This window comes from Homo sapiens, chromosome 4 (genome assembly GCF_000001405.40).
Source record: "Homo sapiens chromosome 4, GRCh38.p14 Primary Assembly".
NCBI lineage: Eukaryota > Metazoa > Chordata > Mammalia > Primates > Hominidae > Homo > Homo sapiens.
The window spans coordinates 103,015,969-103,032,385 of record NC_000004.12 but is presented as its reverse complement, the minus strand read 5'-3'; the positions used below and the strand labels follow the sequence as shown (position 1 = coordinate 103,032,385).

General features: G+C 37.7%; 2 protein-coding genes across 16 annotated transcripts in view, besides 1 other annotated feature; both read left to right on the top strand.

Annotated features, from left to right (window-relative positions):
* Nucleotides 1-14,357, top strand: part of SLC9B2 (solute carrier family 9 member B2) — a 59,291-nt gene extending 44,934 nt beyond the window's left edge. For 4 of the 12 annotated variants that reach the window (NM_001300754.2, NM_001370203.1, NM_001370200.1 and 1 more), the window contains 3 exons: nt 578-686; nt 3,503-3,639; nt 5,795-10,133. In NM_001300754.2, coding sequence (NP_001287683.1) covers nt 578-686; nt 3,503-3,639; nt 5,795-6,016 — 468 coding nt within the window. In that variant the 3' untranslated portion in view covers nt 6,017-10,133. Of the gene's footprint in view, nt 1-577; nt 687-3,502; nt 3,640-5,794; nt 10,134-11,996 lie in introns of those variants that run through there. The other 8 variants (NM_001370201.1, NM_001370204.1, NM_001370202.1 and 5 more) reach the window with 3 other exon arrangements.
* Nucleotides 12,340-12,840: an enhancer, noted in NCBI's record as "H3K27ac hESC enhancer chr4:103940703-103941203 (GRCh37/hg19 assembly coordinates)". NCBI's record gives its function as "activates a minimal SCP1, AML or CMV promoter by ChIP-STARR-seq in naive H9 embryonic stem cells {active_cell/tissue: H9 hESC(naive)}" and the evidence as "EXISTENCE:reporter gene assay evidence [ECO:0000049][PMID:30033119]".
* Nucleotides 12,681-16,417, top strand: part of SLC9B1 (solute carrier family 9 member B1) — a 134,657-nt gene continuing 130,920 nt past the window's right edge. For all 4 annotated transcript variants that reach the window (NR_047515.2, NR_047513.2, NM_001100874.3 and 1 more), the window contains exon 1: nt 12,681-12,787. The gene's annotated coding sequence lies outside the window, so the exon portion shown is untranslated. The remainder of the gene's footprint in view (nt 12,788-16,417) is intronic.

Genomic DNA, 16,417 nt, shown 5'->3' with positions numbered 1-16,417 from the left:
AAACCTGGATTTTATTTTTGTGCGTGATTTGAGATAACCTTAAACAGTATTTTTTGTACAGATAAAATTGGAAACAATTTAAAGATCTGTCAATAAAGAAATGATTGAATAAACTATGGTACTTCTATACTGTAGATCACTATGCAGCAGTAATAGGGGCATATCTAGATATATGTACCAATATTGCAAGCTCTCTAAATCATATTGTTGAAGGAAAGTCGACATAAAATTTTAAACTACAAAACACTACTATATATTACAATATGTATACACACATGCACATACACACGATGTATTCAGAAGTAGGAGTCCTCATAAGATTACTTTATAAGAATCTTTTTATTAATATCCATGTGCAAACTAATATTTAGTATGCTAAAACACCTCATGTATCTTAACTGTGATAGAAAGATCTTCATGCAGTTTTTTTGCTCTGTTCTAGCTAACCTTTTAGTTATAGATGGCACAGAAATAAAGCTTATCTCAGGCCAAATAATTCAAACCTCAAATTAATAAAATTCTTTGCATTTGTAACTTCACATAATAAAAATCTGTGTGTGTTTTATTGTTATTTTAGGCAGAGGTTGAAAAGATAATTGCAGTTGCCTGGGACATTTTTCAGCCCCTTCTTTTTGGACTAATTGGAGCAGAGGTATCTATTGCATCTCTCAGACCAGAAACTGTAGGTAAGAATTTCAAAATGTGCTTTTGTTAAAATTCACTTTTTTTGGTCAGCCTACTCACCAATAAAGTCTACTTTTTATATTCATTGAAATATCTCCAGCAGGTATGTGTACAGTGGTTACTATTGTCACAATTATATAAAAAGTTAATTATGATGTAAGTTTTTTAGAGTAGTTGGTTAGAAAATAATGCTTGTTCATCTAAGATGGTATATTTTACACATTTAATATTGTTCCTTGTATATGAAAGTGACACTGCTGACCACTACCCAGAAAATTCAGGCCTTAACAATTCTTTTTCCAAGGGTAAGAATATTCATCTAGCCTTGTCCTGAACAAGAGCGAGAATTTTAAAGACAACTAGTTAGTTCTATAGTTTGTACCCATGGGATAGAAATGCCTTGTTGTTCATTAATTATTTTATTTATTCCTACATTCAAAAGCCATCATATTAAAACTCTGTTGATTCAAAACACTGCACTTAAAAATTAATTTGTATATATGTACTCATTATTTCCTTCTTTCCTTCCATCACAGTATTCTTCCATCCATACTAGGAATCCCATCTCCCGCTACTCCTTCTGAATCTTGCATATGGATTCTTTCCTTTTCTCATACATCTTAAATATCCATGTCGCAATTTTCTTCTCTTCAGAATTTAGTCTCCAATCTCTCTTATCTTAAAAAAAAATGCTTCTCTTCTGACACATGCTGCAACATGGATGAACCTTGAGAACATTATGCTAAGCGAAATAAGCCAGTCAGAAAAAGACTAACCCTGTATGATTCCACTTACATGAGGTATCCAGAGTAGTCAGACTCATAAATGGTACTTGCCAGGGGCTGGGAGTAAAGGGAAATTGTTGTTTAATGGGTATAGAGTTTAAATTCTGTGAGATGAAAAAATTCTGGAGATTGGTTGCATAATAGTGTGAATATACTTAATGATACTAACTATACACATAAAAATGGTTAAGATGGTAAATGTTATGTGTATTTTACTACAATTAAAATAATGTATATTAAAATAATATGTTAAAATTATATATATATAAAATTCCTCTATTTCACTTCCCCCCGTCTCTACCATGCTACCTCTCTTGTCTTCTTTTCGGACTTTTCAAAAGAGGTCACTACATTCCCCTTTCCACTTCAGTTCCCATTTCCTCCTTCTATACATTTTAGCCCAGCTTCTGCCTATCACACAACCTGCCAACCTCTCACACAACCTGCCAGCCTCTCACCAAGGTAATATTGCTAAATCCAGTCTTTGCTTTACTTGATCTGTCAGCAGCATTTGCTGCTTTTGACCCTCTAACACTCCTTTATATTAAGTTCTTAAACTTCCTATTTCCCAGTGCTGTTTGAGCCTTTCCTTACACCATATGTAGCTTAAATGCTGCCCTTTATCAAATTGCTTTCTAACTTTGTGCCTCTGGCTCTATATAACTTCTCTAACCTTATCTATACTAGTGACATCAACTATAAACTGTATAATTCCAAACTATTTATCTCTAAATCAATATATCCAATTGTTGATTGGACAGCACCACTTGTATGTCCTGTTAACGTTCAAACTCAACTAAAACTTCCTTCTCATCCTCTTCTCAAACTTTCAATGTTTCCTTCTGGGAATGATATCAACTCTTTATCTTGTACTTCAGGCTACAGATATTTTTGAATACTTTCCAACCTTGAAGAAATACCTTTCAACAAAGAACCACAAAACTTTCCCATAAAAAAGCCATATGGCAGATTTACAATAGATCCTCCCGCTATGTCTGTCTGATGTTTTACCCGCCCTTTGAATTTGAGAAAACTACTTATCCTTTCTGAGCTTCTGGTTTTTTCAACTATAAAATAATACTTACTCCACGGGTTGTAAGGACTAAGTAAAATAATACATTTAAAGCTTAGTACAGCATTTGGCACAGAGTAAACACTCAACAAATGTTACTTTTTAAAAAATCACCCTAATACTCAGGAGTCACCTTAGCTGTATCATTCTTAGGTCCAGTAGCATGTAGCAGCACTACTCACAATCCCTTGTTTGGCAAATGATGATGAACTTGTCTTTATCAGCAAAGAATTCTACAGGACTAAATGGAGTAGCTGTGTATGTTAACCAGGGATAATTGGGACCAGTACGACCAGTACACATCAGTATGGTGAAACAGTGGTAGACTGCCAGTGTCTATTCTGATTGGTCAGTGCCCAGCCAGCTCTGATTGGCTAATTCCCTCCATACTGGCTCATAAATATTTTAGCTATCACTTCTGGTCTTATACCCTGTAAAGAATTATTGACTTTTTGGGTTAAAATATTGTTTTTCCCTCTTTTATGCCCTTAGTTTGTTTATACCTCACTTACTGTATAGTCTATGAATTGGTTGTTTATGTGTCTTTCTCTGACTTTGAGGCAAAGTCTATACATTGTACATTTATGTGTACACAGTACTTAGTTTAAAGCTTATTACTTATCATTTAATCATATCATTTAATAAATTCTTCTTACACACATGAACAAGCATGGTTCTTGCTATAAAGCATAAGACATATATAACATTCAAATCTCTACATAAGAATTCAAATATGCTTAATTTCTGGTTTTAATCTACAGAAACACCTTATTTTAAACAAATAGCCTGATTGATCCTTAATATTGATTGTTTTTATATATTCTTCCTAAACATTTTTGTATTTGTAATTTTTAATGCTTTAAAAATTATTTCTGTTGATGGTTATTTTGAATTAGTAACCATGAGATGCAGTTTCTCTCCTAGTATTTTATTATTTCTAAAAATTGAATATTTCTTACAGGCCTTTGTGTTGCCACCGTAGGCATTGCAGTATTGATACGAATTTTGACTACATTTCTGATGGTGTGTTTTGCTGGTTTTAACTTAAAAGAAAAGATATTTATTTCTTTTGCATGGCTTCCAAAGGCCACAGTTCAGGTATGATGGATAGGATGGCTTAGCATTTTAACTGCTATTTCTGCATGACACCTTGAAATATTGAATAAGAGGGCTTGTTTAAATTTAGTGAAAATAAATAATTGAAGTGGATTTATGAAAAGAGTTTATCCTAATCTATTCTTTAAAACCTGTATTTTTGGTATATTCATTCCTTAAATGTGATAGCTCATTAAATTTCCTTAGATCACCAGGGTATAAGTAAAAATCCAGTAAATCCCTATTCTACTAGAAAGCAGTAGTAACAGGAGAGAAGAGTTTTCATCAGTCGGCACTCTGTAAGTCACCCAAGGAAAGAGTTCTTAACTCTTTTCATGTTAATAGCTTCCAAGAAGAGAGTAAAATAGAAATAACATGGTTCCCTTAATGTTTGGAGATATTTTAATGTTAATATGATTGATGATCAGTTGAGCTTGACCAGAGTCTTTGTATGTAATGGAGAAAAGATTTATTGAAAAACAACTCAGAAAGCACTTTATTGATTTCCTAGATTATTAGTTGGTATTAATTATTCAAAACTCACTGAACTTCCTGGCAAATGTCTCAATCACTTAACCGAAAATTTGTGCATTCTAATAAACGTGATAAATAAAGCTATTATAGATAGGTGCTTGAATTTGTTGACCATGCATTTGTTAGAATATCTATGATTGCTAATTAAGTTAGAACTGTATAGATTATGATTTGTTGCAAATGTGATGTATCTTTGGTTGTATATTTTCAGACTAATTACATCAAACAACATTTAACTGTTTTGCCCCAGATTATTTTATAATTAAATATTCCAATTTCTGTTATTAAGGAATTAAAATCAAGTGTTTTTCATTTAGGAGGCTTTGGGGGATGTGTATGCTCAGCAGTTATATTCCAGATTTCAATTATGCTCTTTGCATTTGGGCATTACTCCAGAATTCCCCTCACCCCTATCAGACTTTCAAAAATGTCTAAAACATAATGGCTAAGAGTTCTATAAAAAGGTCTCTGGACAGCAATGTGACCAGCCAAACTCCAGGAGTTCTATTATAGAAGGGAAAGGGGTCATTCATGTTTTTGTGAGCAACTAGTAGTTTCTGCCATTGTTTCTGATGCACATTTTTCTTTTTCATTGTCTTAGAGGCTTACATTGTTCTCTGTGGAATAAGGGATAACCAGATTAATTAATACATTTTTCCCATCTGCACTGATAATATTGCATTTTGCCTCTAAAAGAAACTGAGAATTTTCATAATGTTTTCCAACAGATGCATTCCAAATAAAACATTTCACCAAATTCTGTGGCAAGGAGTTGACCAAATACCTAATAAGATCAACTTCAAGTTGTCAAGGTGTCCACTATTTTCATGTTTCATGACGTTTGACAATGAGTTTAAGCTCTAAAGTAATATATATTTATTTAAAATTTAACAGTTTTCAGTAGGTATCACTGCATGTTTTTCATCTTATTTTTTAGTTCCACATTCCTAAAGATAAAAGGAGATGACCAGTAATTTCCATCTTTATTCAGGAAAAATTTAGTACATAGAACTTTATGTTATATTTAATTAATATTGTGATTCTGGATTTGCTTTGTGTTTTGAAATGTATTTTACTGATATTTATGTAACCCTACCTTACACAGATAAGTACAAATGAGTCATCAGTATGTTCCCATGCAAGGGCAGAGTTTTTAGATCATCAGAACCAGCTGGGCTGGGCACAGTGACTTACACCTGTAATCCCAGCACTTGGGAGGCTAAGGAGGGAGGATCACTTGAGGCCAGGAGTTCAAGACCAGTCTGGGCAACACAGCGAGACCCTGTCTCTAAAAAAGTAAAAAAACAAAACAAAACAAAACCTGCAATACACTTTGAAAGAATACTAAAACAACTTTCTTTTTTTTTATTTTATTATTATTATACTTTAAGTTTTAGGGTACATGTGCACAACGTGCAGGTTTGTTATATATGTATACATGTGCCATGTTGGTGTGCTGCACCCATTAACTCGTCATTTAGCATTAGGTATATCTCCTGATGCTTACAACTTTCTTAGTTGAGCAAAAGAACAAGCAATTTGCTTTTGCAAACAATAAAAAACTCACTTTTTTTATATGTGCTTATCTTATCATGATTCCATTTTTACCCTTAAACTTTTATAGGCTGCAATAGGATCTGTGGCTTTGGACACAGCAAGGTCACATGGAGAGAAACAATTAGAAGACTATGGAATGGATGTGTTGACAGTGGCATTTTTGTCCATCCTCATCACAGCCCCAATTGGAAGTCTGCTTATTGGTTTACTGGGCCCCAGGCTTCTGCAGAAAGTTGAACATCAAAATAAAGATGAAGAAGTTCAAGGAGAGACTTCTGTGCAAGTTTAGAGGTGAAAAGAGAGAGTGCTGAACATAATGTTTAGAAAGCTGCTACTTTTTTCAAGATGCATATTGAAATATGTAATGTTTAAGCTTAAAATGTAATAGAACCAAAAGTGTAGCTGTTTCTTTAAACAGCATTTTTAGCCCTTGCTCTTTCCATGTGGGTGGTAATGATCTATATCACCAACCTTAATCTCTCTGCCTTTTTTTTCAAACACCCCTTCATCATCCATCTTAATTTGCATAAGGACATATCTACTTTAATGTACTACCACAGTTTACAGTTAATGTGGGAAAGACCAGCTTCAGTATCCTCTTCAGCTAGGATTGCCCTAACTTTTAACTTTCACAGTTTCCTGATTCATATTTGCCCAGGCTCTGATGCCTTGAATTGGTTTTGGCTCTCTTTTTTGGATCTGTTTTTGTTGTTAAACATCATAATGCAGTCTCTCATTAATTTTTACCATCATTTACCCTGATAATCTGCCTCTTCTCCATTTCTCCTTCCCTTACTACCTTTCTTTGAATTACTGTAACTGATTGGTCCCACCAAAATTTTAAAGTACATGAAGTATCTTCATTGGTTCATCCTCTTGCCCCCTCCAGATGTCAAAAAACTTTATCCTGCCCCCTAGCTGACCACCCAGGTTCCTTTATTTCAGTGGCCCATGTGAGTCTACCTTCCCCTAAGGAGTGCCCTAATCCAGCCCTTTTTTTGTTTCTTATGACCCATATCTTTAGGCTCTTCCCATTTCTAGGTGGGAGATAGGTAAGTTTCAAATCTATGCCAGTCTTATGAATATTACATTAGGGTAATGTGCTATAATGAAGAAATAAAAAATACAGTGCTTAAAAGAAAATAAAATTCTATTTCTGTCTAATGAAACTGGCTGGTTCGTTAATACCAACAGGGTTACTCTGCTTATGAGGTCTGCTCAGAGTCCCATGTCTTTCTGTCCTGAAGCTCTGCCATTCCCTAGCTTAGGACATGGCTTAACCTATTTATGCCAGAGGTTGCAAAAATTTTTTGTGAAAAATCAGACCTTGGCAATGACCTTGAGCAGTGGGATATAAATAACTCCCACAGGCTTAGCATTCTAATAATGGAACACTAGGCATAAATGGGTTAAAAATGGATCTCTACCATATCTCCATTCTATCTCTCAAGGAAAATGCAAGTATAGCAATTTATTTTTGAGGAAGTGATGTGGAAGTTGGACACATCTCTTTTCCTACATTTATTGGTATTGATCATATCCGGCTGTGAGGCAGCTAAGTGTTGTCTCTAGCTAAGCATTCACACTCCTAGGAGGAACGGAACATCAGATTTTCGGGGCCAGAGCTTCCACTGTGTTGGATGTTACCATCATTCAGTAGCATATTCTTACATGCAAACAAAAGCTTTTGAAAGACATTGCCTTAAACCAAAAGAGTGACTTCTATGGCAGGGATTTCAGAAATTGTGACTTGCCAGCAGAGAAAATATTAGAAGAAAGACTTACCTGCATAGGTCATATTTTATCCTACTTTGTAACAGGCCATCTCTGCTTTTGTGTATCACTCATAAGTTCCTCTTCACTCTAGGTCATCTTCTGTGTAGTTACTGAAATAATCACATTCACATACAGTTTACAGTTTTTATCATGTTATCTGTGTACCTGAAGTGTTTATTACATACTTGTCATATCCTATCTAAACTCCTCGACCTAGAATTCAAAGTTCATTTTAATCTTGAAGTAGATATTAAATATGTATTAGATGAATGAATTATGAATATCCTAATCCCACCAAGCTGATCTGCATAAATAAAGCCTGTCCATTCCTCTCTTCATTAGACTTCTGTTCGAGCCCTATCCACCATGGCTTTCACCTCTATTCAAAACTAGTTTAATATTCACTTCTTCTAAATAGCCTTCAATTTTATGTCAACTTTGCTTTGGTTACCCTATGGTGCTGTATTCCTTTAATGTTTATGCTCTTGATTTGGACTTGATTAATTTATACCAAAGGTCAGATAAGTGTTTTGAACTGAACTTCATTGGTTAGGTGCACTTTGCTGGGAGCACCATAAACTTAATGATCATCTGGTCCTCTATTTTTGCAGGCTCTAAAAGTAGATGCATCCAAAAAATACTTACTGAAAGCTTTTGAGATCCAGGCACATCATCAAGAATAATATTGTCCCTGTCCTTAAGGATTTAACAGTCCAATAGAGAAAACAGACAGTTAAACAAGACATTGCAAAACAATATGATAAGTGCTATTATGCAGGAACTACAGGGCTGCTAGGGAGCTCATGGCAGGAGCACTCAATCAATCCAAGGGTGGTGGAGTTTAGGCACAGCTTCCCAGAGAAAGTAGGGCATTGGCTGAGGGAAGATTAGGACTTAGCCAGCAAAAGGGATGTAAGACCAAAAAGTGTTACACTTCATGCTGTTTCCCAGGTCATCAGTGGCATTTTCTCCAAGTAACAGGCTTGGAATATTTATTAACTTATACATAATACAGTTAGTATAACTAAATCAGAATGCTATTGAATATGTTTAGGGCCCCTAGGAAAATTAGAAATGGAAGTCCACAGAGTACAGAAATGATTGAAGGGCACCTGAAGCCACTGCCAATACCTGTTTTCATTTTGAGGTCATGCAGCAAACTCTTTTCTACCTCTAAGAGGGTAGCCACCATCTAAATCTCTGTGACTGCCCAGTGCTGGCTTTTTGACTTCCTCTATTGGATCTCTGAAATTTGTGCCTATTCCTGGAAGCTCTTTGTAGGAATTTATTAATTGCTATAAGACTATGTTGCTGTTATATATCATGGAGATGGTGAGGTCAAGAATGACAGAGGCTGACCATTCAGCAGGGCTCACCATGTGAAGGCCGGGGTTTGTCACCACATTGAAAGCCACATCTCTTGACTTGGTTGGTGAACTTAGGGTTAACCTGATAGAGTACTGACCAACTCAACCTATCCCCTCTTAAACCACAGATAGAAACAATTACTCTAACTTTTGGGTCCCTTATACATACTTATGTCAGAGCACATGTAACACTTTTTTTCACTTTATTTACATGTTTGTCTCTTATTAAATCAGCTCCCTATGGGTAGGAACCTTGTCTTAATTATCCTTGAATCCTCAGCATTTTTCACAGGGCATGGAACACAGTAGACATTTAATAAACATTTACTGACTAAATCTGAGAGGAAGAGGATCCTCTCTCAATATCAGAAAACTACTTGCCACACGACAGTTCGGATCTTAGTCCACTTAGTCTATCTTAGTCAGCTTGGGCTGCTATAACAAAATACCATACACTGGGTGGCTTACACAACAGAAACTTACTTCTATTAAAGGTTGGAAGTTCGAGATCAGGATGCCAGCATTGTTGGGCTCTGGTGAAGTCTCTCTCCCTGGCTTGCCAATGGCCACATTCTCACCCTCTCACTCATGTGTCATCACTTGATGCCGAGAGAGAGCAAGCAAGCTCTCTGGTGTCTCTTCTTATAAGGGTACTCTAATCACAGCATGAGGGCCCTACCCTCATGACCTCATCCAAATCTAATTGCCTTCCCAAATCCTCATATCTAAATACATCACATTGGAAGTTAAGGCTTCAACATATGAATGTGTGGGGAAGGACATAATTCAGTCCCTGAAAGAAGTGTCATATTTCCAAGGACAGTATATTTCTGTCTGGTATTAACTCCCAATCACCTTGATTGATCTTGATGTCCTCAAAATTTCCTCAGGTAAACATTTGCAAATGATCTCATCCACTACATTCTTTAAAAATAGTATTTTTTTCTGATTATAAAGTAACACATTTTCATTGCAAAAAATTTAGAACACAGAAAAATACAAACAAGAAAACTGAAACTAATATAAACATGTATTTTATTTTTCTTTAAAATTGTACTGCAGTTTTGGGGGATGTATTATTTTCAGAAAGATATATCATCAACTGAATTTGTTGGGTGAAAGGCAACATAAGTATTTCATATTTGGCTTTTATGATGCTATGTAGATTGAAGAATTTTTTTGTATATAATGAATGCTAAGCCTTCATGTTTATATTCAGATATTCATTTTGCAATGAATAAAACAGACAAATCCCTGCCTTCATGGAGCTTGTTTTAAAATCCATTTACTCCCTCACTCAGAATATATTATAACATGCCTACTGTGTGCCAGGTCTTGTGCTAGATACTAGGGAATACAGTGATGAACAAGATATTCAAGGGCTTGGTTTTCAATAGAACTTGATTCTAGTGGAAAATTGACAATGTGAGGAATACAAATATGAATAAGACATGATACTTGCCTTTAAGAACCTTAGAAGGAAATAAGATATGTACAAATAGCTATAATCCAAGTGAATAATTCAAAAGTGTTTTTAGTGTAGAAGTTGAGGAAATCTTAGAGGAACTGATACTTGAACTAGACCTTCAAGAATGGAGAGGATCTGGATGGATGGGGTAATATTAGGGAGTAAGGTGAAGATGGGAACAACTAGTGTGGGAGGCTGGCATATTAGCAAAGTTTTGAAAACAGTAAAGCCTGGAGCATAGAAAGTGATTGGCACTTGAGATTGATGAAGAGAATTAGAGATAAGACTAGAAAAGAAAGTTGGCACTGAAATCATACTAAATAGATCATTGGCTAAATATTTTTATTGAAGTACTTTCAGAAGTATGAAACTATGTAGAAAGTGTTAAAACTTTTTTTATCATGTCATGTATAGTTTTAAAAAATTGCTCTCAGTTAAGATTCTCCTTATTCCTCAAAAGCTTTTGCTTTCCATGACTTTGTTGCAAATATAATCAATTTACTTATTTTTAAAACTTAATTTTTATAAGAAAGGTTATCAGATGATTGTTTAAATGTTTTTTATTAGTAAATTTTCATTATATTGTCTCCCAAAGAACCACTGTATTTTTTTAATGTCTCAGAACATTATATTTTTATATGAATCATTTATGTACCTCTCTGTAACAAGTGGGAATTGCTTCATGGCATTTGGGGAGTACGTAATATTATATTTATAGTTGACTGACTCAAATCCAGCCTGAGCCCTCTGGCCTGGTGAGAATTCCAAAACTCCATTTGTTGATGTGCGCTCCATCTTCCTTACATGGACCCTAAAGCACTTACCTCTCCAGGAGCCCATTCCTTCTAGAGCATAAGAGTAGTGCCTTGGAGGCAAACAGACTCCTAGCAAAGGTCTTCCTTCCCAGGTTTACCATTTGTCCCAACTCCCATTATCTTTAGGGATCTACCTGCTTTTCCTGTGAGTACAAAACATTTCCTTTTCATGAGTACAAAACATTTCCTTAACCCTATAATCATGAAACCCTGTCTACTCTCCTGAAACGAGGAAGAAAAATAAATCCTTGCTGAGATGTCTATAACACGTTGAAGGAGGGAAGGTGTTAAAAACAATAAAAAGGGCAGGGCTGTGGTGGCTCACGCTTGTAATCCCAGTACTGTGGGAAGCCAAGACGGGCAGATCACTTAAGTCCAGGAGTTCAAGTCCTCCTGGGCAATATGTGAAACTCCTCTCTACTAAAAATACAAAAATTAGCCGGGGGTAGTGGTGCCCACCTGTAGTCCCAGCTACTCAGGAGGCAGGAGGATCGCTTGAACCAAGGAGGAGGAGGCTGCAGGGAGCCTAGATCGCACTGCACTCCAGCCGGGGTAATAGAGTGAGACCCTGTCTCAACAACGTCAACAAAACCAATAAAAAGATAATTTCGTATTTAAGTTACCCAAGAAGGAACGGTAATTTGGATCAGATCTTAGATGATGACTAAGAAAAAGAACACTCCGGTAGAGGAATTAACTTTACAGAACGCACTGAGGCAAAAAGGAATACAGTGTTCAAGAGTAAACATTGAGTGTCAGGAGAAACATTAGATAGGAAAGGGCAGTTTGTCTTTCTAAGAAGTTTACACTTTCTCCAATAACAGTTGTTTTTGTCTTTTATAGGAAGCGCGGATTCTATTACTGGAAACTTTGGGACTGAAAGGCCAAAGCTTCTGGGCCCACCATCAACGCAGCTCCGCTTTCATTTCTTTCACATACAACTTTCCACATAAGATTTCATGCGGAAAAAAAAAAAAAACTCACAAAGGTTTTATACTGATAACAGTATATTAAGTGTTTACTTTGTACACAGCGTCTTTGTTCCAGACACTTGCCATGTCTCATTTATTCTCACACCACCACCACAGCGTCCTTTACAGATGAGAAGACAACCTCAGGGAGACGATGTATTTGCCTAGGTCCCATAGCTAGCAAGTGACAGCGCTGCAGTTTAAGCTCAGGCCGTCTTGGGGAGAGACCGTGCTCTTCTACCATTGCACTTTAAGCTGACTTTAGGGGAAACACAATCTGAGTTTTGACAAGTTTACTTCTGGCACATGCAGTCCCGAGCACTGCTTTTTGGCTAAAATGCCCAGTGATGTCAACTCTGTCCCTGGATTTCTACAACCCGATGAGTCAATATTCAGAAGAGACGTCGAAAGGAAAGGGTTCAATAGACAGAAAACACACCAGACAGTCCCAGAAACCCCAGAACCCTCGCCTCTGCCGGCGCGGACAGCCAAGACGTCACTTAAACGCGCTGCCGCCTCCTCGCCCCGCCCCGCCCCTGCGCGGAAGTCTATCCGGGCTTTCGCGTCACCACCCTGCCCACCTGGGTGGCGCGTGGCTTACGCAACGGTCACTGGGCTCCTGGGCCGCTCCCGGGCCAGCGAGGGCTGCGAAAGAAGTTGTAGGTACGGCCCATTTTTCTTAACGCCGCCCTTCCAAGCCCTTTGGCGCTAGTCCCGGGTCTGCCGCGATCGTTTCCTTGCGGTAGGCCGCAGGAGGGCCTTTCCTCCCCCTCAGTTCAATGGGATTCTTGGGCTCTTCTCCCAGACGCTGAGGGAACAGCCACAGACATTGTCTCTCCTCTCCGTGACTCCTTTCCTTACTCCGTCATCCCACATCTCTCTTGTTTGTTCTCTTTTCCTCCTGTTTTTCTTATTTTACAAATACTCGCCAGTAAGAAAGAAGAGATCTGTCAGTTAAGATTGACCTCAAAATTAATTTTATTAAGCGTGTACTATTTTACAAACGGTGGATCCCTGCAAATAAACCTTCACATACATGCTCCTGCGACTGGAGATTCTGGGATTGGTTGCCGATCCTGAGAAAGCTCTCTTCCCCCACCCACCCACATCCACGCCCCTTAATCCTGTTTACTCCTCTTGGCTTTAACCCAGGGGACAAGCACTTCCAGCAGTCCCCAACCTTTTTGGCACCAGGGATCAGTTTCATGGAAGACAGTTTGGGGTGGGGGGCAAGATGGGATGACACTCTTCTATCTCAGATCATCAGGCATTAGATTCTCTTGAGAAGGCGCAATTTAGATCCCTCACATGCGCAGTTCATAATCAGGTCTGTGCTCCTATGAGAATCTAATGCCTTTGCTCATCTGACAGGAGCTGGAGCTCAGGCATAATCCTCTAGCCCTGCTCACCTGCTGTGTGGCCTGTTCCTAATAGGCCACAAACCTGTACCTGTCTGCTGCCCAGGGGTTGGGGATCCCTGCTTTAGACCAGTGCTTTTGAAGGAAAAAGGAAAGTTGCACACATACTGTGTCTGTCACATCAATCAGTAGTGTTACAAGAGCTCTTCACGGGACCATACCAGGTCCCTCACTCCCCCTCTATGGGTGTCCTAGAGCCTGTGAAATAACAGATTTGGTGATGTGGGGAGACAACTGGCCCAGGTGGCACTGAGGGAGGCCACACCCCACTCTCTGATTTTCCTTAGAGATAAATATAATTATGTGTGCAACAGAAGCATGAAAAATGACACTTATTATTGTCACCCCTAGAGAATTCATGCCCCAAATATTTTAGTCACTGTGTGCCTATGAAAAGGGCATTCATAGGTATTGTCCCCTGTGAGTACCAGAATTTTTTTTAACTTACTTTTTAAAATTCTATACAGATTTAGTTAGTACAAGTTCAGTTTTGTTGTGTGGATATATTGCACAGTGGTGAAGTCTGGGCTTTTAGAGTACCAGAATTTATACTGCTGTTTTTCAGTTGGCTCTTGTCATAAGGTCCTGCCAATTACTAGACACAAGGAAATAGGTGGGTGCTATAGTTGTAACATATAAAGTATCGTTTTTATAGTACTTCTCATTTTGTACTTATTTTTGTACTCATCCTGTTTAAACACTTCTGTTGGTTAACCAAATCCCATGTTACTGTGGTGTTTACTAAACACTGAGATTGAATAGTACCTGGAACATAGTGTAATATATGTTCAATAAATATTTTTTGAGGGAATGAATGGATGAGCTTCTGAAGAAGCCATACCTTAGCCACTTTTGTTTTTCCTGGATCCAGAGCTTAGTCTAGCAGTAGTAAACTCACCAGTGTGAGTTAAGTAGAGAAGTCAAGTGACTTGCTTAGGGAAAGGCATTCATTAAGTATTTTTTAAAGAATATCCTACTTTGTCAGGCGTTGTTTTAGGCATTGTGAATACAATGGTAAGAAAGACTAGCAAGATCGCTGTTCTTATGAAGTTTAAATTCTAGTGAGTGTAAGATAGAAAATAGGTAAACTATATGAGCAAGGAATTTTGGATAATAGTAAGCACAGTGAAGAAGTAAAACTGTAAAGGTCTTCCTTAAGACTGGGGGAGGGGTTAGTTTAGATTGATTGCTTAGTGATATTTTTAAAAACCAACCATGGAAATATTTGGGATCAGCGCACTACAGGTAAAGGCAACTCCAATTGCAAGAGCCCTAAGGAAGGAAAGAACTTGGCTCCTTCCAGGAACATCATCAAGACCACTGAAGCTAAAATGTAGAGAAAGTGGTACAGGATGAGCTTGGAGGGATAGGTAGGGGCCAAATCATGTAAGGCTTTGAATAGGCCATGGAAATCTACCCATGGAATAAGTTTGGAATTTATTTAAAGTGTAAAGAGAAACCAGTAGTGAGTTGGAGGGAGTGATAGGATCTGATTTACATTGTAAAAAGGTTTGTTCTGCCTATTATGTGATGACTGAATCATACTGGGTGGGGAGCAAGATCTATAGCAGAAGATAATTGCAGAAATCCAAAGAGGAATGACAAGTTTGGGATAAAATAGCAGAGAAGTAGATGTATGTGAGCTCTATTTTGGGGGCAGAGCCTACAGATTTTGTGATGTTTTGAATATAGAGGTGATGAAAAAGGAGTCACCTCTAGCCCCTAAATTTTTGTCTTGAGCTTGTGTGGATGATTGTGCCATTTACCAAATGGAAAAGACTAAGGAAGAAAAAGGAGCAGCCAGGGCGGTGGGAGGGGGGAGTTTTATTTTGCTTACCTTAATTTTTACATTCTTATTAGAAATCAAAGGTAATTTGAGGCTTCAGCTCTGTGCAGAGTGCAAGGAACCAAAGATGCAAAGTTGGGAGTCACCAGCATATGGAAAACTACCTAGGGCAAGTGTGCTCACCGATAACATTGCAGTGACTAGTGTAAAGCAGAGGAAAAGAAGCCAACAAAAGAGATGGAAGAATAGCCAATGAAGTAGGAAGAAAATCTGAAGAGTGCAGTGACATAAAAGCCGAGACTGGCCGGGCATGGTGGCTCATGCCTGTAATCCCAGTACTTTGGGAGGCTAAGGTGGGTGGATCACCTGAGGACGGGAGTTCCAGACCAGCCTGACCAACATGGAGAAACCCCATCTCAATTAAAAAAAAAAAAAAAAAAAGCCAAGACTACAAAACATGGCCAACAGTACTGAATCATGCTTAGAAGTCAAATAAAATAAAGAGATCTGTGCATTGGGTTTTGGAAACATTAAGTAGTTATATGCCTTGACTAGTACAATAAAGAGAAAATGTGGTGTCAAGAAATTGACATAGTACTGCTGGCTGGGCAGAAATTGACGTAGTACTATAGACATCTCAAGATGTTTTACTATGAAAGAGAGCCAAGAAATGGAGGTAATAGAGAAATATGTATGGTCAAAGAAGGGTTCTTAAAGATAAGGACACTTAAGCATATTTAGACTGAGAATAATCCAATAGAGGGGGGTGGAAATGATGGTATAAGAGAGAGTGTGTATATTTTAGGAGTGAAGTCTTTGAGAAAATGAGAGGGTATGGAATCCAGGGAATATATAGAAGTATTGGCCTTAGGTAGGAACATGAACATATAAACATATACTTTCCTTTTTTTTTTTTTTTTTTTGAGACAGAGTTTGGCTCTTGTTGTCCAGGCTACAGTGCAATGGAGCAATCTCAGCTCACTGCAACCTCTGCCTCCCGGGTTCAAGCGATTCTCCTGCCTCAGCTTCCTGAGTAGCTGGGATTACAGGCGCACACCAACACACCATGCCTGGCTAATTTTTTGTATT